Source organism: Homo sapiens, chromosome 9 (assembly GCF_000001405.40).
Source record: "Homo sapiens chromosome 9, GRCh38.p14 Primary Assembly".
NCBI classification, from domain to species: Eukaryota; Metazoa; Chordata; class Mammalia; order Primates; family Hominidae; genus Homo; species Homo sapiens.
Genome location: NC_000009.12, coordinates 10,334,821 through 10,360,140, shown reverse-complemented (window position 1 = coordinate 10,360,140; position 25,320 = coordinate 10,334,821). Strand labels below are relative to the sequence as shown.

Here is a 25,320-nt window from a genome sequence, read left to right as displayed (position 1 = left end):
ATAAAATTCAGTATCTGCGTTTTTCAGTAGGACAAATTATGACAATAGTTATATAGAACTCTATGCATAATGCAATTTCTCTTAATAAAAGCCTAACGTGAACTAATAGATCTGAAAAGGAACATTGAGAAAAATGTAAATCTGTAGCTGACATTGGCCAAAAATTTGTATAAAAGATTCAAATGCAGCTTTCAAAACAACATATACAATTCTCCCTGTAATTTGGCAAATTATTCCAACAGCCTGTAACACTCTTGATTTGGAGCTTCTATGGGGGTTATAATTACATCTCAACTTTTAAAACCATATCATTATCCATTCAGTGAATAGAATGCATTGATAAAAATCACAGTATCCCCTAGTGTACACTAAAATTGTTAAGCAGAATAATTTATGCAAATTACTTATAGAGTTAATGTATGTTAAATAGGTTTAATTACACTGCAGAACTTAGTTCGCTGCAGCACACACAATTATTTTTAATTATAAAACAGATATTTTCGAGATTTATGTTCAACCCATTACACTGCCAGTTAATACTGCTTTTCTTCCTTGCTTTCAGAAATAAAGAAAAGAGATTAATAATTTGTGCCAAAATCTTCTTGTTACTGAAAAGCTTAGGTACATTTTAATGTTAGCATTTTTTGAGATTTAAAAGTGACAAAATGCTTTTGGGCCTTATTTAAAATATTTACTTATTACCAAGAGTTGGGAAGGAAATTAACAGAAGAAACAACTTAAAGATGTAATAATATTTACAACTGGGGAGTAAAACTGGGGGAATAAAGAAGAGAAGAGATGTAACTGTTTTAATTATAAGCTCTTCTTTACTACATGGCTTATAATCATATATGTATTACTTTGCTTAAAAAAATTAAATGCACACATACATACACCATGTTCACCCACAATCTTTGCACCTACATCTTCCCATTATTTTAATTTATGTAGAAAGGATGGCTGAACAATGAATATTATAATGTTAACAATAGATCTCATGATATAAATAAAACTAAGAATTTCCAAATTTTTGAAAAAAATCCTTTTGCATTGGTACCGTTGTTCCACATTGTGACATTAGGTATTAGACTTGTAATATATATACACACATAGGCAAGGAAAAAACAACTTAGCCAGTCACATTTCAATAGTAATATTAAAACAAAGATGTGAATTCTATGGCAAAGTATGAGTTTACAAATGACCTTTGCATACTACAGTATACCAACCAGCAACCATGGAAGATACACATGTTTACTAAATAATTATACAGAAAACAATATACAACATAATACAATATGCATTACTTAGTGAAGCTCAAAATATATGATTTTAGTGGACTTATTTTAATGATATTAATTTTCTATCAAATGAACAAGCAATTCTGTTGGGCACAAAATGCAATTATGTTACAGTATAATATTTCAGATTAAAAACTTTATATATATATGTGTACTTTTCTTAAGATGGTGTATACTGAGCTAATAGTAGAATATAATAATCAAATTAAACACAGGATATCTTTTTCTAACTCTAAATTTTTCAGACAGTTTGCTATTTTGAATGTGATGCTAAGAGACATAAATCTTTCAAATTTAATTCATTGACATTGCAGCTATTTAATAAAAAAGTTTCATAAATACTAGGGTGCCAAACTAAAGTAAATATACTGTCTAATATTTGTAATTAGATGTTAAAACAAAGATTGCTTCATTGATCAATGAAATTATAATACCCTATAAGATGTAAAATTCAGAATAATTAATAAAACTTACACATTATTTATTTGCTATCTTTATTCCCAAATAGGTTCACCATGCATTAAATTTATGCTAATTAGCATGATTAAAGATGCTTAGTTCTGTATTTGAAGAATTTCTGGACAAAAGTATTATCTTTTGATGAAGACAAAACACTGTTAATTCATTATGTAGAATCTCATTATCTCACCATGCTATTTTTCATAGATACATAATATATGTACATATTTGTGGATAAATATGATAATATGATACCTTAGATAATCAGATCAGGGTTTTGTCCTCTATCAGATATGTAGCTTTCTTGCATTTTAAATATTAGTCTTCTGATGAGGTTGTCTCATCCAAGTATTGAGCACAGTAGTTAGTGCTTTTGACTATGGAGTACCTGGAGATATATCATTATTGCTATTTTATCAATTTGGTCAATATTGCTTTAGCTTGGAATATTTCTTTAGCTTGGAATAGCCATCTGATTTCTGTTTATATAATTCTTTTTCTTTAATACAGTACCAAAAAGTCCCCAGTGACCTCATGGGTTTTGATCACAAGGCATTTTAATGTCAGGGAAAATTATTCACATCATTGCATATACTTAGTGCCTATTCCGGCACTTTATGCATAGTCGTTGTTTTTAAATTATTTGAAAAGCATCTCCAGCTGCTCTGCCTATGGAGTAGCCATTCTTTTGTTTCTTTAATTCTCTAACAAACTTGTTTTCACTTTAAAGAAACAAAAATATCTAAACTTTCCTACCAGCACAAAAGGATATAATAATGCTAATATTAAACCAGTATGTTTTCAGCATTTACTATGTGCCAAGTTCTGCTCTAAGCACTTTGCATACGTATTAGCTGATTTATTATTCACAACTCCACCATGTAAATGCTAATCTTATTCCATTTTACTGGCACTGAACAGAGGTTAAATAGTTTGCTGTTTGACATGCATCAAGTAAAAGCCAAGTCCTGAAATCAAGGCATTGAACACTAGAATTCATTCTGAATAATAGTGCCAATTATTATCAAGGAACGAATCCAAGTGAAAATAGTTTTTTCTAGTAAAGAGTGCTCAAAAATGTAGTTTTGTGATGGTTAAATCAAATCAAACACAGAAAAATCTAATATAAACACACCCTTAAGCAGTGTTCTCAAAAATACCTGGTGTACAGTGCTTCAGTACATAAAATGATCTAGGGGGTCTAGGAGAAATAGATGAGGATTTATGTTTCTGTTATATTTGCTAGTTCTTCTTTTCTTATTTTTTGGAGTGTTTTCTGCTTTGTTTTAAAGACATAAACACTAATATAATTTAGTAGTATATTTACATCATTTATAAGTGAAAGTGAATAGTACACAAATATTGGTGGTGCCTATATTCTTTTTAAAACTGTTCTTATGGGCCGGGCGTGGTGGCTCACACTTGTAATCCCAGCACTTTGGGAGGCCGAGGTGGGTGGATCACCTGAGGTCAGGAGTTTGAGACCATCCTGACCAACATGGTGAAACCCCCGTCTCTACTAAAAAAACAAAAATTAGCCGGGCATGGTGGCAGGCAGCTGTAATCCCAGCTACTCAGAAGGCTGAGGCAGGAGAACCCCTTGAACTTGGGAGACAGAGGTTTCTGTAAGCTGAAATAGTGCCACTGCACTACAACGTGGCGACAGAGTGAGACTCTGTCTCAAAAAAAAAGAAAAAAGAAAAAAAACATTTTTATGAATACATGAGCCATAATGTTTGGAAAACCACTACTCACAATTTAGGAAAAAATAAGATTTAAGGTAAAAACGCATTATGTTCATCTCTGCAACTGTAGTTATGTATCCTTTTTCTGAGTCTTCCTTTCTGCATAATGGGAATATTAAGTGCCTATATAGTTTTATTTAACAATGACAGAATAAGTGAAATTTGTGTAAATTTTAAAAGTATACAACCCTACAGAACAATTATTCAAATATCACTGGACAGCATTTTCAAATATCATTTTGAGTATATAGAACAAACCAATTTGAGAGAAATATCTATTCAGTGAGTCTTATGTATCCCTTCATGGTAAAGTCATCAGATTGACCTTTGGCATGGGCAGCATGGAACAGACAATTCCTGATAGATAAATAATCTCCTTGAGGCACTGTCTTCACCACTTTACTTCTTGTTGCTAATATTTCTGAAGTGTATGAATAGGCTTTTAGGAAGCCACACTAGCCTGTGGCCAGGCAGTTCAGAGCTTGGTTGATACAAACAAAACAAATACCTGAAAAAAAAAAAAGGCAATTTTCTCTTTTATTTAAAGCTCCCTCAAAACCCTGACAACCAAAAATGGAAATCAAATGAACTAAAAATTTGGAATGTTATGTTAATATATTCGCTTAATAGATATTAATATTTTAAGTCCATATCATTCCCAGTGTACATCTCAGTGTACTCTCTAATACGACTTTAGATTTTAACTTAGTAGACACAATCATTAAATTTCTACTGACAATATTTACCTAGATTTTAACATCTCAAATTCGCATACTAGTTAAAATGAGTAGTATATCATAGTGTTTCTTTCATACTCTATGTTTTAAGTATATATTTAAAGGATTGAAATATAGCAGCGGCCGGCCGCGGTGGCTCACGCCTGTAATCCCAGCGCTTTGGGAGGCCGAGGTGGGCGGATCACCTGAGGTCGGGAGTTCAAGATCACCCTGACCAACATGGTGAAACCCCGTCTCTACTAAAAATACAAAATTAGCCGGACATGGTCGTGCATGCCTGTAATCCCAGCTACTCTGGAGGCTGAGGAAGGAGAATCGCTTGAACCCAGGAGGCGGAGGTTGCATTGAGCTGAGATCGTGCCGTTGCACTCCAGTCTAGGCAATAAGAGTGAGACTCCGTCTCAAAAAAAAAAAAAAAAGAAAAGAAATATAGCAGTATTTTCTAAAGTGTCGTCTATAGAACAGAAGTTCTATAAGCTCTCAATTGTTAACAAAACATTCCATGGTGCAATATGTTTTAAAAATATAACAGTTCACATTAGCAAAGTATTGAACCTGGGAAGTCTGAGTACCTTGAGTAGTTCCCAAATTTAGTTGACCAAAAATAGCATTTTGAGTTTTGCTTGCTTGCTAATATCCCAAGAAGACAAATTTCACACAATGCTCTATTAAATACCAAGATACATATTTTGCCTCATACGTTTCTTAATAACTTAAATTATATGAAAAAAACTTTGAAGTAAATGTCAAAATTTTGTAGAATTTTACATCTAGCTCAAAATAACTGAGCTATTTTGCCAGAATAAAATTTGCCAAAGTAGAAATATATAATGATTTACAATTCTAAGAAATTTATTTTCTGAATAATTTATTTAAGAGAAATAATACATTTATAAGCCTTGCATGAGGAAGTATACATCTATTTAGCAAATACAATGTAAAAATTGATTTTAGCATATTTTCATCAAGGACAATGGGACACATGCTGAAGTCAGAGGAAAGTACCATGAGCACATGCAAAATTATGATATGTACTAGACACACAAAGCACGTACGGCACACATCCTTCTCATGTCTTTCCTTCTCTCCATTAGAACTGTCAGATGCATTTCCCATGCCACAGTAAAAAATGACATGAAGATGGAAGTGACAAAAGAAATGAAGATATAACGTCACCCTAGCAGTAGCCTCATGTTTCATCAGTGTCCTCATATAATCCTTCTAGTAATATGACAGATAAGGTATTTTAAAACAAGTTCTTAATACAAACTGAATAGAAGATAAAATTGCTAAGTAAAATACAATAAACATTCTTGTAAAAGCATATTTGAGAGTCAAAGAACTTAAGGAAAATCTCTAGGGGCAAATACTACGATGAGGTAGGAATCAAATGTGACTGTCTTGTGCACATTTATTAAAAACCGGAAACCAAGAGGCTTCATTCATAAAAGTGATGAAGAGGACAAGATTGGAATTTGGGAATTTGAACCTAAAGTTGATTGATTCTCTTAGCCTTTTAACAGTCAGAAATTAGAAAATCCTAAATGTATTTTGCTGAAATGTCTATCAATATTTGATATACATAGAGATAAAAGATAAATAGAAGATGTATAGCAACAAATGTTTATCATTAAATGGATTCTGCAAAGGTAAAGCTAAGCAAATTGCAAAAGCATTCATAATGGATGATCCCAGTTGTATTAAAATATGCTGGACAATGTTATCTATTGTTTAGGGATATTTGTATATGTAGGAAGAGCATGAAAATTGCAATTACCGATTAAATGGCTAGTACTTGAGAGGGTAGGAGGATAATGTATTTTGGAAGTGCAATACAGTGGATTTAAATTTTATTGATAATATTCCATATTTAAACTAGGTTTTGAGTGCATGGAAGTTCACTATATTATTCTTTATGTCTTTCTTATGCTTCAGTTATTTAATAAGTAAAAAATTTACTCAATTGATTTTTTTATGGGTGAATTCCTTTGGAGATTCCTAATGACTTATTTAATTTTAATAGTTATTGGTTGTGTTTTGTGGTAGTTTTCCAAAGCAACATGGAAAAAATTTTACCAAGCCATATTTTCTAATAAATTATTCCAACGCCTTTTTTTTGGACATGAGTTTAAAGTTAATGAATAGGGTTTAAATTATATTTTGGTGTACGGTTGTTAAAAACTTTAAATTCATTTTAAAGAGCTTGCTCTCATTTTGTGAGGGATAGTCTTGATTTTTAAACAGTGTAAGATTATTTTGACTCTCTAATCTTATTTGCAGTCTTTAAGAGACTCTATATTAAAAACTTGTAACTCTTCTGCTGAAAATTTTTACTCATCCTCTCTATACCTCCAAATCCTCTCTTCTCCCATGCAGAGGTTGGCAGGAGTGGTAAGAAATGTTGTATTCTTGAGAACAGAATATATTAGAATTAAAATAGTTCTTATTATAATGATGTGAACAAAGTATTCAATTAATATTGATGACTGAAAAGTGCTGTTAGGAAGTGGAATAAACAAACTCTGAAATAGTCAAATGCCAGGAAAAGGAAAAGCATTAGATTTTGTCCTTAGTGGTTCCATTCTTATCCTAGGACCATTATTGTAAGTTTTTCACAGAGGATGTGTTTTTTGTAAGAACATTAGGACTACCTCAACACCATTAATATGACCACAACTTCACCTCTGAAATCCTAATTTTAAGGGAGAAATAAATTCAAATATAAAGTTGTGATTTAGCCGAGTATATAGAGATGATTATTTTAAAGAAGATTATTCTATTTTGAATTCAGGTAAACTAGCTGGTAAGTTGTTTGAAAATTTGATTTTCTGGTAATTTTAAGGGACTTGTTAAAAGGCAAATTACCATATATACCTTGCCTCACATACATACCCTCTGTGGCTTATCAATTTCATGAGTATTTCACTCAACCAAAAACTGTTGAATATAAGTTAATATTTATTTTATGATTAAAAAACCACCTAAAGGTATTGCAGCATTTAGGAATCAGTATTATGCTTAAAGAGGGGCAGAGAGGTGAGAGTTAATGAGGATTTCTCTAGATAAAATCCTGCATAAAAAAGATTTTAGCCTATTTTGCAGATTGTACTTACCTTTAGTCATTTACACAACAGATTTAAATATTATAGTGAGTATATAGAGCAATAGAAATATAACCACTTCATCATTGAATAATCAAATAGTAATAGATAGTAAGAAAGGCTTGTATCCAACACCTCAAAATGCTTGAACAAGCAATACATTCAATTACCTATGCTCTTGGAATTATAAATAAACATGCTTATGCATATATAGCTATTTCTCCTTCTGATCTATATTTCATTACTTTGACCTTACATGTAAGACAATTGTGTGTTTCATATGCAAGACCTCAACTGCTCTGTCTGCAAAGGTGATGTAAAATTTCTACTTGAATAGCAATAAATCATGTTAATTCAGCCTTAGTCAAACAAAATGTGTTAGAGAGGATGGAAGAAGAATAGGAATGAGAATGGTCAAAACATTCAATCGAGTATAAGAATCTGCCCAATTGAAGTGATGTACTAATATTGAGTCAAGTACTTCTAGCGATGAAACAAGGACCCAGATCAGCAGGAGTGTTTGTATAATTAAAATAATCCATTGATATTAAAACAGGATAAAGTAATTTTATGTATTTTGATTTTAGTACAGTGATTTCTTAAAAATCCAGTGAAGAAAACTCAATTTAGTTTCAAAAATGAGGTGAAAATGAACTGCCTGCCAAAGGTTAATGAGATAAATATGATTTGCTTTAGAACTACAAGCAGAGTCCAGAGATTGGTGAATAAGAAGCCACTTTATTCAGTTCTCTTTCCACCACTTGTGGTTCTCAAAATGAAGCTTAATGAAATAGGATTTACCTATCAATGCCTCCACAGTTAATTGGCATACATAGCTAATACTGACTCAAAACTCGGTCTGTTTTTAGGGCACATTTTCCTAAGGAGGTTTGCTAACACATCTATGCCCATCTCCATTTGTGACCCATCCCCTTTCACTATCAAAGTACCATCATTTGGGAAATGAATGTGTCTATTATGTTCTAGGCCTCTACATTTTCCTGCGTTTTCAAATTTTCATTCCTCAAAAAGCTTAGGAAATTAAGAAACAGAGAAAAAGTTTACATTTTTTTTTCTAGTGCAAATGTGATAAAAGATTTTAGGAACCCTCTCTGTCATTAAAAAAAAAAAAAAGTTAGAATTAAAATATGAGAGGTACTAACCTCTGATTGCCCAGTATTATTTCTTGGATAAATTATAGCTTTTGATCCTCTGTTTCCCACAGCTAAAAGCTAAGGGTTCCAGCTATGATTGACTCCAACGTGGCTATTTAGCAGTCAGTAATCACTTCATGACTCCAATACAATATATTTTCTTAATGGTGAGTAAGAGGTCCCATTTGAACAAATCCATTCCCTTTTCTACAAAGAAGATGTGTGTATGTGACTCTTAATCACTATCAAAGTGTAATTGGGCAGTAAAAGAAACAGATTGGTTAGTGTCGACCATATGATAGGCAATGTGTGGAGCCAGGAAAAGACAGGGTTCAGCTATTTTAAACATGTTCAATACTTAGTCAACTCATTATCCACATAAATGGAGGGCGACAGTAATTTAGATAATCCACGATAGTAGATGATTAAAAAAAAATTTACAACTGAGTTTGCAAGCATATTTTTCTTCAACACATTTGTCACAACTCTCTTTTAATGCTTAATGCCTCAAATTTTACAATTCTTTAACACTTTATAAAGTGACTTTATGTATCATGACTTCTCTTTTTGGTATCTTCCTAGTGAACCTCCTTTTGTGTATCTTAGCTCAAATGCCATCTCCCTAAAACTGACCTTTGGCTCCTTTCTTCAGTATTATACCCATCTCTTCTCTGCTATTATCATAGCTCACTGTACTTTCTTTTTTATATCATCACCATTTTATGACTCTAAGGAATTACGATGTCTTTCCACCTATCCTGTAAACTCCATAAGGCCAAACACCTGTCTCTTTGTTCATAGCTGTATCCCACCACGCTCAATATTTGGTGAGCACATTCTAAGTGCACGATGACCATTAGCTTTATGATGGAATGTAGAAATCAATGCATGGATGAATTTAATCCTAATTATTGTTTTGAGAGGTTGTGCAGAAGCCTTTATTATCTTTTTATATACAGTGTAATACAGTATAGACTGTTTTGGCAGATGGCCCATTTGACCACTAACCAAGATCCTGATCTTAGAAAATTACTTATCTTTTGGCACCTCTGTTTCATCATCTGTAAAATAGAAATAATGACAATATGTTTTGTATATTGTAATGAGGATTAAATGACAAAATATATGTAAAAAGCTTAGCAGAGAGACTCAAAGTAAATGCTTAATTTTTTTTGATTTTATAAAATAATTGTATACTATTAATAATAAGTAAAATGAAATCTGGAAAGATTAAGTGAGCCACCCTAAAGTATATTATATCAAATAAATATCATGTAAAATAAAGGTAATATTTAGATAACAGAATTGTTTAGAATGACTATTTACAAGATAAATTGACTTGGTCTTTAAAGTTTCTTCTTATAGTTCCCTTGACTATATTTTGACAACAAAAAGAGAGTCTTTGCTAATTAATGCCTGAAACATTTAAAAACTGATAAGGCCTCTATGCTGCATCTTTCTTAAGATATAATCCAGGGTGCTGAGAAGAAAAAAAAACATGTATACTCTGCACACCAATGAAATGGGTCTATATTAATTAGTGAAGTATTGTCTAATCAATAGTGTCACATAGACTTTTCTAGTCTGTGAACTTATATTGTCCTCCAAGGTAATTTGACCAATCCAGCTGCCTTGATAGGCATTGCTGTTTCTCTTTCAATTATTTAAAACAAAAAGGATCCCGGCTGGGCACAGTGGCTCATGCCTGTAATCCCAGCACTTTGGGGGACGAGGTGGGCCGACCACCTGAGGTCAGGAGTTCGAGACCTACCTGGCCAATATGGTGAAACCCTGTCTCTATTAAAAATACAAAAAATTAGCTGGGGATGGTGGCATGCACCTGTAAGATATTCATGGGTACTTAGAATTATCATGTGGACTTCTTTGTGATGCAATTATTCAGCCTACCAAAGGTGATTTTTAAAATTTGTTTTTATTTTTAATGATTATTTTTAAATTAAGCCTAAATTCAACAGATATTATGAAATGAAAATGACCTTTTTATACTTTTTTTCATGTATTCACACAGTCAAAATTAATTTTAACTTAAAGACCTATTCAAATGACACTCTAAAAAATACTGAGGGACATGGAAACAAATCCACAGGACATCAAATAGAGAGGTTTATGTATATGCATTTTTGTGTATGTGTCTGTGCATATTTCCTATTTAGTAACTTGTTTATTTAGGTATGACAGATGGGAACATAGGCCACAATGTTAACTGGAATAATTTATCTGCAGGGGCAGTAATTACAGCTAGAAAATATGTATGAATGTGTGTTTGTGTGCGTGTTTGTGTGCATATGTCAATCAAGGAAAATGATCCAGGCAGGTCTCATTTTAGGAGGTTTATTTGCCAAAGTTAAGGATGCCCCCCACCCCCCACCCCACTGGAGACAGGTCTATGACTTTCCCCAAAGATGATTTTGAGGGCTTCAAATTTAAAGGGGAAAGGACAGGATGTTGAGAAATACACAGTTATCATGTGAGATTGCAGTAGGGGAGAATATTAATGGCTTCGTCCTGCTCAGTGAGTCTGAATTTTTATATAATATAACATAGACAATAAGGCAGAGGAAACAATCAGATATGCATTTGTTTCAGGTGTGCAGAGGGATGACTCTGAGTTCTGTCCTATGTCCCCTGTACCTGCAAAGATAATTGATAGGTTGATCAATTACACTGCCATGGTGAACTTTGACAGATAAGCTTGAAGGTAAAAATCTTGGGGCACACAAGGAGTTTACTTGTGGGCAAAATGTTAGGGAGGTATATAGCTTTTCATCTTTGTAGCCATCTTATTTAGGGATCAAAATAGCAGGCAGGCTTGCGTGACCAAGTTCCCAGCTGGACTTTTCCTTTTAGCTTAGTGAGTTTAAGGTCCCAATATTTATTTTCCTTTCACACATATATCGAAGTTCCGTAATAGCGTTTTACTCACATTATTAGAAAAACTTTACAAGATTTTTAAAATGAAATAACGTAACAAATGTTATATGCAAACAGGGGAGGTAAACTTTTTTTCATTTTTCAATAGCATATACTAAAAGGTACATTTTTAATACAGAGAAGACAAGTTTTATGCTTTATCTGACCAAGGGAATATTACTCAGAAGAATTCAGAGGCTGCATCCTTGCTTAGAGGGAAGGAGTTTTGACTGAGTGTTGATGTGCACCACGTAAGGGGCAGTGTTTTACCGCTTGCAGCATATGCTTGTCAACCCTGTTTTAAATCATTTTGGTTGTTTTTGTCCCTCTAAATGCTGTTTTCTAACATTCATTTTACCTAAAATTAAACAGCACTCTTAGAAACTTAGATAACAACATTTCATATTGAGAAAGTAGATCATTGGCATAGGTGAATGGATATTTTAGAGTTTATAGTTAGAAGCTCTGACCAATCCTAACATTGCCTTAAAAAAAGTAATCCTACGTAAGCCAGGAAGGATAACTGGGAAGGAGAGAGGAAGAGAAGTTGATTAATGGGTACAAATATAAGGTTTGACATAAAATAAGATTTAGTGCTTGATAGATAAATAGTGTGACTATAGTTCACAAGAATCTATTGTACATTTTGTTTTTTTAGACGAAGTCTTGCTCTGCTTCCCAGGCTGGAGTGCAGTGGCATGATCTCGGGTCACTGCAGCCACCACCTCCTGGGTTCAAGCGATTCTCCCTGCCTCAGCCTCCTGAATAGCAGGGACTCCAGGCACATGCACCACGCTGGGCTAATTTTTGTATTTTTAGTAGAGATAGGTTTTCCCTATGTTGGCCAGGCTGGTCTCAAACTCCTGACCTCAGATGATCCTCCTGCCTCGGCCTCCCAAAGTGCTTGGATTACAGGCGTGAGCCACTGCTCACAGCCTATTGTACATTTCAAAATAGCTAGCAAATAATAATTAGAATGTTTCCAGCATAAAGACAAATAGCTGGCCGGGTGCAGTGACTCACGCCTGTAATCTCAGCACTTTGGGAGGCTGAGGTGGGTGGTCACCTGAGGTTGGGAATTCGAGACTAGCCTGACCAACATGGAGAAACCCCGTCTCTACTAAAAATGTAAAAATTAGCCGGGTGTAGTGGCAGACACCTGTAATCCCAGCTACTTGGGAGGCTGAGGCAGGAGAATTGCTTGAACCCAGGGGGCAGAGGTTGCAGTGAGCCGAGATTGTGCCGTTGCACTCCAGCCTGGGCAATAAGAGCAAAACTCCATCTCAAAAAAAAAAAAAAAAAAGACAAATAGCTAAGATGATGGACATTCCATCTTTACAAATCATACAAAGTATGCTAGTGAATTAAATTATCACATATACCTGAAACTATGTACATCTATTATGCATCAACAAAAATTTTATTTACAAAGAAATAATTTGAGAGGAAAAATACATGGAGGAAAAACAAAATATGCTCATAGAGGCAGGACTAGTTCTGGACTAGCCCCATTGAATAACAGTGGCAGACAATGAAGTGTAAAGAGAGGAATGAGAAAAGAAGAGTAGAGAAAGACAACTGGGTGTGTGGTGGAGATCTGGGCTGATGAGAGTGAAATTTCAGGGAGTTAGGAGGGGAGGTGTGCCTTATAGTAAGGACAGAAAAGATAATTTTTATTTTTTTTCCCATGGTCTAGCATGTGGCCACCTGAAAGATAAAAGTATTTAAACATTTGGTTTATTGTAATGACATCATAATTATGCAGCTCATAAAACTATAATTCTTTATTGCAAGATTTCTAACAAATTGATAATTAGACAGATGGATAGATCTAAGATTACTCAGAGCTATGACCCTTGCTGTAAGGCCTATGACAAATCACATGTTCTGTGAAATTACATTACCTCTTGCTTTCAGACCCACACCTGTGCAAACTTTTCCACCCATTCACTTCAGTAAATGTAACACAAGTACAGGAAAACAAGATATCCTCTCTCATTACCAGATCAGTTTACAGGCATGGGGAAAAGATGCTGTCAAATATTATCTACAACTCGAATCTGAGGTCACTGACCTTAGAATGGAAAAAGATAATGCCTCATCATGAATGTTTAAAAAATCTACCTATGCAAACATACTTTATATTTTCTGGAATTCTAATATCACTTGCAGTTTAGAATAAAACATAATCTTATGAAACTATAGCACATGAATAGTTTTTTGATATTAAATTATTAAATTACTGTATCATATATTCTTATATAATTTTTCAGTCTTTATTTTGTCCTCCTCATACTTTATGTGTCAATTTTCAATTCCTAAACATTCTGAACCTCCTAGTTGATTGATTCATTTATTAAGGCATTTAAAACATGAATTGAAGCCTCAAAATGAACCAGGTGTCATGTTCATTCCTGGACATAACAAGGTCAATAAGACATATATTTTGCTTTCAAGGAACACAGGTTCTTGTTTTGGATGACATTAAGAGCTAGGGAATATGTTTTGCTTCTAATTCTTTTCATAGACTTCTACCAATTTTTACATGGAAACATTTACTTAAGCATTTTGAGCTTAGAATCCTATTAATTTCAAATACTATCACTGCTTGTACTGTTTTAAATTGTGTTTCAATATAATTGCTTAAATTCCATATATTTTCTGTGTTGTCATATATGAAAGAGGTTAAATGATTGATATTGGTTATTAGAGGACTGCAAATCAAAACCGCAATGAAATACCATCTCACATCAGTTAGAATGGCGATCATTAAAAAGTCAGGAAACAACAGATGCTGGAGAGGATGTGGAGAAATAGGAATGCTTTTACACTGTTGGTGGGAGTGTAAATTACTTCAAGCATGTGGAAGACATGTGGCGATTGTTCAAGGATCCAGAACCAGAAATACCATTTGACTCAGCAATCCCATTACTGGGATTATACCCAAAGGATTACAAATCATTCTACTATAAAGACATATGCACACGTATGTGTTTTGCAACACTGTTCACAATAGCAAAGACTTGGAACCAACACAAATGTCCATCAATGATAGACTGGAAAAAGAAAATGTGGCACATATACACCGTGGAATACTGTGTAGCCACAAAAAGGATGAGTTCATGTCCTTTGCAGGGACATGGATGAAGCTAGAAACCATCATTCTCAGCAAACTAACATAAGAACAGAAAACCAAACACCGCATGTTCTCACTCATAAGTGGGAGTAGAACAATGAGAACAAATGGGCAGGTGGAGAGGAACCTCACACACTGGGGCATGTGGGGGGTGGGGGGCTAGGGGAGGGATAGGATTAGGAGAAATATCTAATGTAGATGACAGGTTGATGGGTGCAGCAAACCACGATGGCATGTGTATACCTATGTAACAAACCTGCCATATATCCCAGAACTTAAAGTATAATAACAAAATTTAAAAAAAGAAAAAATGTTCACTATAAATTTATGAAAATATATTTCCATGTGTAAATTGAGGTTGTCTGAAATATTATTTAAAATTTATAATTTTGATTATTTTGAATTTTGATAATTTTGAATTTGCCCAGTAAATATTGACCACTTGCAATGAATCAGATGCAATGGTGGGTGATTGGAATTCATCAGCATACCAAAAAGATAAGTCTTTTTTAGCCATAGTCTTCACCAAGTTTCCATTCTATGATGGGGAGAAAGGATTTAATGCTCAGAAAGATAAAATTACATTATTATAGTATAATAGGAGATTTATATGATTTTAGATTTATAATAGCATCTAAAATGAATAACATAAATATGAGACAACAGAGAAAGCAAGGCATGAGAAAATTATTTATTTGATTCTGATTTTGGTTTGCTTTTTGAAAAAGTGTATAACTCCAATAACAGACAAACAGAGAACCAAATCATGCGTGAACTCCCATTCAGAATTGCTACAAAGTGAATAAAATACCTAGGTATCCAACTTACCAGGGATGTGAAGGACCAATGAGAACTACAAACCACTGCTCAATGAAATAAAAGAGGGCACAAACAAATGGAAGAACATTCCATGCTCATGGATAGGAAGAATCAATATCGTGAAAATGGCCATACTACCCAAGGTAATTTATAGATTCAATGCCATCCTCATCAAGCTACCAAAGACTTTCTTCACAGAATTGGAAAAAAACTACTTTAAAGTTTGTATGAAACCAAAAAAGAGCCTACATTGCCAAGACAATCCTAAGCAAAAAGAAACAAAGCTGGAGGCATCATGCTACCTGACTTCAAGCTATACTACAAGACTACAGTAACCAAAACAGCATGGTGCTGGTACCAAAACAGACATATAGACCAATGGAACAGAACAGAGGCCTCAGAAATAACACCACACATCTACAACCATCTGATGTATGACAAACCTGACAAAAACAAGAAATGGAGAAAGGATTCTCTATTCAATAAATGGTGCTGGGAAAACTGGCTAGCCATATGTAGAAAGATGAAACTGGATCCCTTCCTTACACCTTATACAAAAATTAATTCAAGATGGATTAAAGACTTAAATGTAAGACCTAAAACCATAAAAACCCTAGAAGAAAACCTAGGCAATACCATTCAGGACATAGGCATGGGCAAGGACTTCATGTCTAAAACACCAAAAGCAATGGCAACAAAAGCCAAAATAGACAAATGGGATCTAATTAAACTAAAGAGCTTCTGCACAGCAAAAAAAAAAAAAAAAAAAAAAAAAAAAACTACCATCAGAATGAACAGGCAACCTACAGAATGGGAGAAAAATTTTGCAATCCACCCATCTGACAAAGAGCTAATATCCAGAATCTACGAAGAGCTCAAACAAATTTACAAGAAAACGAAGAGCTCAAACAAATTTACAAGAAAAAAACAAACAACCCCATCAAAAAGTGGGCAAAGGATATGAACAGACACTTCTCAAAAGAAGACATTTATGCAGCCAACAGACACATGAAAATAATGCTCATCATCACTGGCCATCAGAGAAATGCAAATGAAAACCACAGTGAGATAACATCTTACTCCAGTTAGAATGGCAATCACTAAAAAGTCAGGAAACAACAGATGCTGGAGATGTTGTGGAGAAATAGAAACACTTTTTCACTGTTGGTGGGACTGTAAATTAGTTCAATCATGTGGAAGACATTGTGGCGATTCCTCAAGGACCTAGAACAAGAAATACCATTTGACCCAGCAATCCCGTTACTGGGTATATACCCAAAGGATTATAAATCATGCTACTATAAAGACACATGCACATATATGTATATTGCAGCACTATTCACAACAGCAAAGACTTGGAACCAACCAGAATGTCCATCAATGACAGACTGGATTAAGAAAATTTGGCACATATACACCATGGAATATAATGCAGCCATAAAAAAGGATGAGTTCATGTCCTTTGCAGGGACATGGATGAAGCTGGAAACCATCATTCTCAGCAAACTAACACAGGAACAGAAAACCAAACATCGCACGTTCTCACTCATAGGTGGGAAGTGAATAAGGAGATCACCTGGACACAGGGTGAGGAACATCACACAACAGGGCCTGTCAGGGGGTCGGGGGCTGGGGGAGGGATAGCATTAGGAGAAATACCTAATGTAAATGAGGAATTGATGTGTGCAACAAACCAACATGGCACATGTGTACCTAGGTATCAAAACTGCACGTTGTGCACATGTACCCTAGAACTTAAAGTATAAAAAATAAAAAGTGTGTAACAAACAAGAGGTATGGAGGTCAGGCTATTTAAATGGAGAAGATACTTTATATTTAAACAGTCATTTTCAGAAATCCAACCTTTTTAGTTTGTTCATTCAAAACATTTATTTAATCTCTGGATGGACATATGCTGGTAAGTAGATAATATAGAGGAAGAAAACACACAAGCACATTATTTATCTTAATGGAATTTACAGTCCAAGGGATTGCTTAACTTACTTTGCTTTAGTCTCTGAATGGCTTATATTCATTCAATAGTTATACAGGTATATGCTGGAATTTATTACATATAAAACACCACATGGAATAGAAGGTGCGGAAAATTAAGAACAATAAAATAATATACTCTAAGTAAGTGTATTTATACATTTGAGGACAATACTTTGACTCTTTATTTTTAGATTAATTCAAATAATTTACCATGAAATATCGATCCTGTTGTGTTTTCTAGTGTATAATTAGTTGTTATATAAATTTTTCTATTGCTACAAAGATTCAGTAACAGTCATCGTTCTTTACAATGTTGATACATTTATCATATCTGAATTAAGACATGTTTTATCCTAAATGTATAGAAATGTAAAAAGGCAGGCAATAGTATTGAAGTTTTTAGAGCTATTAGAGTGCTTATTTACAAACATGTTAAATTTCTTCTATATTCTATTTGATTAAAAATGCTTACTATAATCTTGAATAAGCAAAGTAAACAAGTGAAGAGGATTTGTTACCTATAAGTGACACAGGCCAGTATCAAGGGCGCACTCATGATGTGGACAGGAGTCAATACGATCTGATGATCTTCCAGTGAAATGAAAGTGAAGTCCATACTAATTAGCTTATGAATCAGATTGATACTCAAGTTTCTTTGGGCCAAAAAGACTACCTACTGTCAAGCAATCAAGTGCTATCCCTTTAATTGCAATTTATTCCAAGAACCACAATTTATTGATCCTAGCATACACTTAAGCCACAGCAGTATCATTATTTGACTTTATTTTAACAGCTTCAAAAGGTTAGAAAGCTAGAAACCACTGTGAAAGATACCATTAAAAAGTTGAGTTGCTAAGATTGCTTAACACTCTATGCTGAGTAATATTAACAATACATATGGAACTACATAAAAGGAGAGGGGAAAAAAGAATTAATATTACTTAGGAACTCAATATCAGCTGGTGCTTTCTATATCAAATATCCTTTAATAATAACAAACAAATGAAAAGAAGACCAAATTGCTATTTTCATTTTACAGATAAGCAGCAGTTTAGAGAGGTTTTGTAAATAGCCCAGAACTATAATGTTACAATGTTAAAACCATCTATCAACTCTAAAGCCACATGTTTCATTTCTTACATGATTTCTTGCATAATTTTTGCATACTGACCATTCTACAATACTGTGGCCATCTTGACACATGCTTAACAATATTGAAAGTGTGAAGACATAACTCATCCATATGAATTTTGCACCCAATATTATCTTTGAAACGCAAAACATTAATGTCTGATCACTCTAATTTGTTTGCTATATTATCTTTTATGAGCCACATTTTTTTCTTTATTCAATCATTAAAGTTGTATAATTTCACTTTATAATTTTCAGCTAATTAGACAATGTACTCAGCACAATTCTTGGAGCTTCAAAGGCTATTTTTCTTTAGGTAATATTCTGTGACTATAGTGGCCTAGCGTTTGGCATTTCTTGTATGTACTTTCTGAGTAAGCCTTAGTAACTGATTAAGTGTTACAATTTTTCATGAATCTGCTGTTAACCATGGACAAATCAATACCGAAAGTTGGAGGTCCTAGATTTTCTCCTTGTATTATTCAGAACAACTCTGCTTTTAATGCTTTCAGTTTTTGTACTTCCATACAATTTTATTCACAGAATGAAGAAACCAATACTTTTAAAAATTAATGTAAAATAATGGATCTAGCCCAATGTCCTCATTTTTGCAGGTGAAGAAGTGAAGAATCAAGGAAGTAAAGGACCTGTCTCAAAGTCACACAACTAGTAAGTAATATCTGTGAACTAGAAATAGATAATAAGAAACTGAATTCTATCCATTGCATAATAATAGCTTCTCATTTGAGAAATAATATTTAAAACATGAAACCATGTTCTTATCCCTGCTTAAATCACATATGGTCAGTGCACTAATGGTGTGCCACCTGGATTTAGTCTTGCTATACACTTTGGAGAAATCTTCAAAGTGAATTATGGAATCTTCTGACAGTATTGCTCATGAGATGTTGGCATCCATTTGAGGACTTTCCATGTCCTAGATTCTTAATGTGAATCATCTTATTTAATCCTCACAAAAATATTGTAAGAAAAATGGTTTTATTTCTGTTGTAGAAAGAAATTAAGGCTCTAGGATGGTTGGTAGTTTATCCAAATATGTAGGGCTATTTAATATCTGAGCTAGTTTTTAATTCTGAATATTTCTGACTTTGAAGATGTTCACCTTTGGCATCATACAATTTTGTACTTAAACCAAAAACAAAAAACAAAAAGAGACCAATACAAATAGTATATAATCTCACACTGGTGTGATATAGCCAGCTGTGTGATACAGTGCATAGTTCAAGGTGCTAAGAGAAAACTAAATCGTGACAGATCCACTTGGGTTGACCCTGTATATGCTGTAAAGATTGGTATGCTTTTGCTATTGACTCCCAGCTAGCAATTCTTTGAAAACTGGTCGCTATGAGAACATTACATATAATGATATTTGTAAACATGGGGAAAAACATTGACAACAAATGTACATAACCGTATCACAGGTAGACATTGAGAACTTGTCCAGATAATGTGGAATGAGCATTTAGAAGACAGAGGCTACTTTAACTCTTGTAGTATGAAATAATTATTGAACAAGTAATTAGCATTTTTTTGGATGAGATGTATTTATGTGGAGTTATATAAAATCATTTTCTTTAGAGAGGAGAGTATGAACAGAAACCTGAAGGTGGAAATAAATAGGGATATATTGTCAATATGGCATATGCTAAATCAAAGAATATAGTTATGAAGAATAAGGTGTTATTTCAGAAGGTTGGAGTGGGATTTGTTGATGGAAGCTTTTGAAGCTCAATTTTCAAAATTATATTTTTACTTTATAAACAAGGAGATATTGAAGGTGTTGTTTTGTTATTATTGTTGTTTGTTGGTTCTAATCTGTACATTGCTATCATCAGAGCAATGTGGGGAGTGAAAAAATAATGAGACCAAGGTTTCCTGTTAATCTCTTAAAGATAACAGGACTTCTCCCCACACCATTAGCTGTAATCACCCGGGTTTCTATAGCAACTTTGAGGAGGTCCCAATATCCATTTTCATCCCAAATGCCCTTTTCTTCATAAGTATTGGTAGAATGAATAAATTCCCTTTCTATCTTGCCGATCCATCTTGAAAATCCCTGTCAAGTAAGGGAGAGAATAGATATCATGATAGCTTTTTATTATCCTGGAATCTCATTTCTTCCAAGATAAGAAGTCTTTCAGAGTGAAAATGCTTTTTGTGCTTTGAAGATTCCTGTTTACCTTAAATTTGCACTTCAGATGAAGGGAAGGAAAAGTAAGGGATGCTTACTTTTCTCTTGAAGAGCAAAACAAACAGGAAGAAGGTGTGTTATGCTAAAGCATTTTGATTGTATAACAAAAGAACAACAATGAAAAAGCCTTTATGCAAATTAAGACTGATTTAGTTCCTAAAATGTCAACTGCATGGTTGTAACACTTATAGAAGAAAGTGGTCTGAAAATTTTCTGCCCTAATGTTAGATGACCAATATCAACTTCTCTCCTAATGAGGATTCCTTTTTAATCTTCAGGACTCTCCTCATTTTACAAACCTTCTTCCAGGACTTACATGTATCCACTAATAAAGCTAAACAATACCACCTGGATACTCTGCTGCTTATTGTCTATGATCTTGCAAGTAATGACAGCTGAACTCTGAACAATTTACTTTGTTCTTGCTCAGTTGAATTTATATCCATGAATCTTTCTTCTGTGTTGGAATTTTTTTTTTTGTCTACATTATATTTATGACCCCAGGTCCTCTTTAGCAATGTACTCTATTTAATTTATATTCATTTATCCTATAAGCTATATATCTGCTAAGCTTATCCATTCTATATTGAATCTCTCCTCACTTTCTTAGAGAAAAATATGTATTTTTTTTCTCCTGTTCCAAACATGGGCTATCTCTCTCAAAAGCAATGCCTTTGCCATTAGAGTTCTTTTTGCTAAGTCAATACATATTAACAGTTTTGAGCTTCTAAGAAAGCAGCACTTTGACGTAGGACCTATTCAAGTAAATTCTATATATAAGGTTTGACATTTCCTTTAGCCAGGTATTTGCAATAAAAAGATGAGTACAGTTTGGGGTGGGAAAGAAAGATAACACTACACCTTTATCTATAGATGTGATAAAAGTCAAAATAGGCCAACCTTGTGGGGTTTTGGGATGAACACTGAATACCCACAGTATGTGCTGGGCACACAAAAAATTATTTGTTGAAATGCATTATTGGCTTGTAACTGACAGGTCTTTTGTCAGTTTCATTTGTCTGCGTGTGGAAGGACTATCAGTTGAAAGTTATATTGGTATGGATAGAAATCGAGCATTAAATTTCAGGCAACTGTCTCAGGAATCAGTCCTCTGCTTGCTAGAATGTTACTCATTAGCAGAAAAGGTGAGGCTGTGCAGGCACTGAGCTATAGCACTTACTATACATGACTCCTGGTAGCCAATTGTGCTGAGAACTGGCAATGAACATGGTTTCTCAGCACTGTTTCCTAACATAACTTTGATACTGCTAGCAAGACCCAGTGGTATTCCATATATAATCTTTTTATGCATTTTCAGTTGGTCTTTGGACTCAAAATAGAATGAAGCTCATATGATATGAATAAACTTACTTCATGACTCTTTAATACCTGATATGGAGAAATGAGTGAAAAAGTTTGCGTTTTTCCCAACAAGATAAATTTAAAAAAAATTTTATATTAGGAAAGTGTTAAGAAAATGCAATTGCTGAAAACGTATTTTAACATAAAAGATATAATATGGGAAACAGCTTGGCAAGGAGATCAAAAGCATGGATTCTGAAAAAAATGTTATACGGGTAAAATTGTGGGTTCCACCATTTGCTATTTGTATAATCTTGAAGAAGTTTTCAAATGTTTCTGAGCCTCAGTTCCCGCACCTGTAAAAATGTCTACCTCATAGACTGGCTCTAAGTGTTAATTAAGTTAATGCAGGTAAAGTTCCTGACACATAAGTATAAATAAGATTTAGTTTTGAGTATTACAAAAGAGTTTTATGACTTAAGCATTGTTTTAATTACATATAAAACTGTTGGTTTTTTTAAATTCCCAAATTGCAAAGGAAAAAAATGCATGAGTGAATATACAAAATATTGTTTTGTATTAAAGTTTGTTAGAGCACAACCTCCATATGTTAAAATGTTATGCATTTCTTTAGGACCTATTAAACTATACTATCTCTGTTTTGTTCACATAAATTTCCTATTCAGATGCATGAAAAGTGGAGAGATAGATATGATTCTTTGAAACTATATCTAAATCCATTTGGTATAAATCAGGAAGAGCAAAGTGTGCTACGTTGAATAGCATATCTGTATCTTGTATCTATATATACATGTATACTCACCCTTTAACATTTTATTTGGAATTTATTATAAAATGTGTACATATATAATAATGAGGGGGAAAATTCTGTTTCATAAATGGTGTTTGCAAAAGTGATTTAAAGTAATTTAATACAATATTTTCCACACATTTAATAAACCAAAATTGGGCCACTCGATTTTAGAACTATAAAGTTGAAAAGGAAAGTTTTTGTTGTCTTTTTTGTTTGTTTTTTTAGAAATTAAATAAGCAAGGTTGTGTAGATGCCAGTATTTGCTGAAGTTGCTGCAGTCGCAAACTAACTCACCTTGTCTAGTTTGTCAGATGGCTCCTTGACTACGACCTTGAATGGATATTCTCCATTCAGAATTTCCTGGGCTATTTATTTCTTCATTGCACATCTGGAACCATTTCATCTCTGTCTATAGAGAATGACTTTAGTCCCTAAATCCAACTTCCAAAGCTCCAGTTTTCCTTCACAGTCTAGTTCTAGTAGTATTTTCCAGATTTCATTACTGGTCTAATACCCTAGTCCCTGTGTCCCCTTAGTATTTTGTTTTAGATATAGCTCTTTATAGTTTCTGCCGATTGTTATTTGTCGACTTTTTTGTCTCCCCTCCTCGATTTTTTTTATTCATTCTTTTTATTTTCAACCTTCCAACCATCTAGGACAGACATAAATATTACCTAGACCTAATATTCTTGGCTACTGGAGATTTTATCATGAGTGGAAGTTGGATTTTGTCAAATCCTTTTTCTGGATCTATTGGTATTATTATGTTATTTTCTGATTTATTCTATGCTTGCTAATCCTGGCTCTTTTCATATTATTTTTTATTTGTGACTGAATTCTGGCAAATGCAAAATAGGCAAAATTATGTGAACCATTTTCTGGCCCACAAAAAACTCCCACCCATAATCCTCATGCTCGTTTCCTTCCGGTAGTCACTTTAGGAGCCACACAAAACTGGTATTCTCCTTCTGCTTACTAATTCTCTTCCACCCAAATTCTGAGATTCAGCCTTTCTGAATCTCAGGTAAGTCTTTCACTTATTTAGTATTCTTTCACTTATTTTAGTATTCACTTTTAAAAAAAGACTTAAGTCTTTCACTTATTTTAGTATTCACATTTATTAATTAGAAGCATACCATATCAATAAAGCTGCTAGAAACATCTGTATGAAGTTTTTCTGTGTGAACATAAGTTTTCAGCTCCGTGGGGTAAATACCAAGGAGCACAATTGCTGGATTAGGTGGCAAAAATCTGTTTAGTTTTGTAAGAAACTGCCAAACTCTCTTCCAAACTGGATGTGCCATTTGCACTCCCACCAGCAATGAATGAGTGTTCCTGTTGTTCCACATCCTTGACAGCATTTAGTGTTTTCAGTATTCTGGATTTTGGCCATTCTAATAAGTACGTACTGATATCTCTATGTTGTTTTAAGTTGCTTTTCCCTGATGACATGGTGAGCATCTTTTCACATGCTTATTTGCCGTGTGTATATATTCTTTGGTGAAATGCCTGTTAATGTCTTTGGCCCATTTTTTAATGAAGTTGTTTGTTTCTTATTGTTTAGTTTTTGTTTTTCTTTGTATATTTTAGATAACATTCCTTTGTCAGATATCTCTTTTACAAATATTTTCTTACAGTCACTGGCTTGTCTTTTCATTCTCTTGACAGTGTCTTTTTTCAGCTGGAATTTTTTATTTTAACGAATTCCAGTTTATCATTTATTTATTTCATGGATCATGCCTTTGTTGTTCTATCTAATGTCATCATCAAACCCAAGATCATCTACATTTTCTTCTATGATATCTTGTAAGAGTTTCATAGTTTTGGCTTTTACACTTGGGTCTGTGATATGTTTTGAGTTAACTTTTGTTAAGGGTGCAAGATTTGTGAGTAGATTCATTTTTTCATTTATTTTTGCATAGTAATGTCTATTTGTACCAGGCACCATTTGTTGGAAAGGTGATCTTTTATCCATTGCTTTGCAATTGTTTCTTTGTGAAAGATCAGTTGACTATGTTTATGTGAGTCTGTTTCTAGGTGCTCTTTCTGTTCCATTGATCTTTTTATCTGTTATTTTGCCAGTACCACACAGTCTTGAGTACTGTGGCTTTATATTAAGTCTTGAGGTCAGGTAGTGTCAGTCCTGGACTTTGTTCTTCTCCTTCTATATTGGCTTGGCTATTCTGGGTTTTTGCTTCTACATGTTAGCTTAACAATCAGTTTGTCAATATCCAAAATATAACTGGCTGGGGTTTTGATTGGGATTGCATTACATATTTAGATTAATTTGGGAAGAACTGTTATGTTGACATTGAGTCTTCTTGTTCTTGAACATGGAATATTTCTCCATTTACTTAGATTTTTAATTTCTTTCATCAGAGTTTCATAGTGTGTATCATGTATATCACATACATATTTTGTTAGATTTATGCCAAAGTATTTCATTTTCTTGGGCACTAATGTAAATAATATTGTATTTTTAG

At 33.7% G+C, this 25,320-nt stretch overlaps 1 protein-coding gene across 38 annotated transcripts in view; it reads left to right on the top strand.

Moving 5' to 3' along the window:
* The window catches only part of PTPRD (protein tyrosine phosphatase receptor type D), a 2,298,757-nt gene that overhangs the window by 252,862 nt on the left and 2,020,575 nt on the right, over positions 1–25,320 (top strand). For 37 of the 38 annotated variants that reach the window (NM_002839.4, XM_006716827.5, XM_047423649.1 and 34 more), the window contains one exon: positions 19,124–19,178. The exons of the other annotated variant lie outside the window; for it this stretch is intronic. The gene's annotated coding sequence lies outside the window, so the exon portion shown is untranslated. The remainder of the gene's footprint in view (positions 1–19,123; positions 19,179–25,320) is intronic. 38 annotated transcript variants of the gene reach the window in all.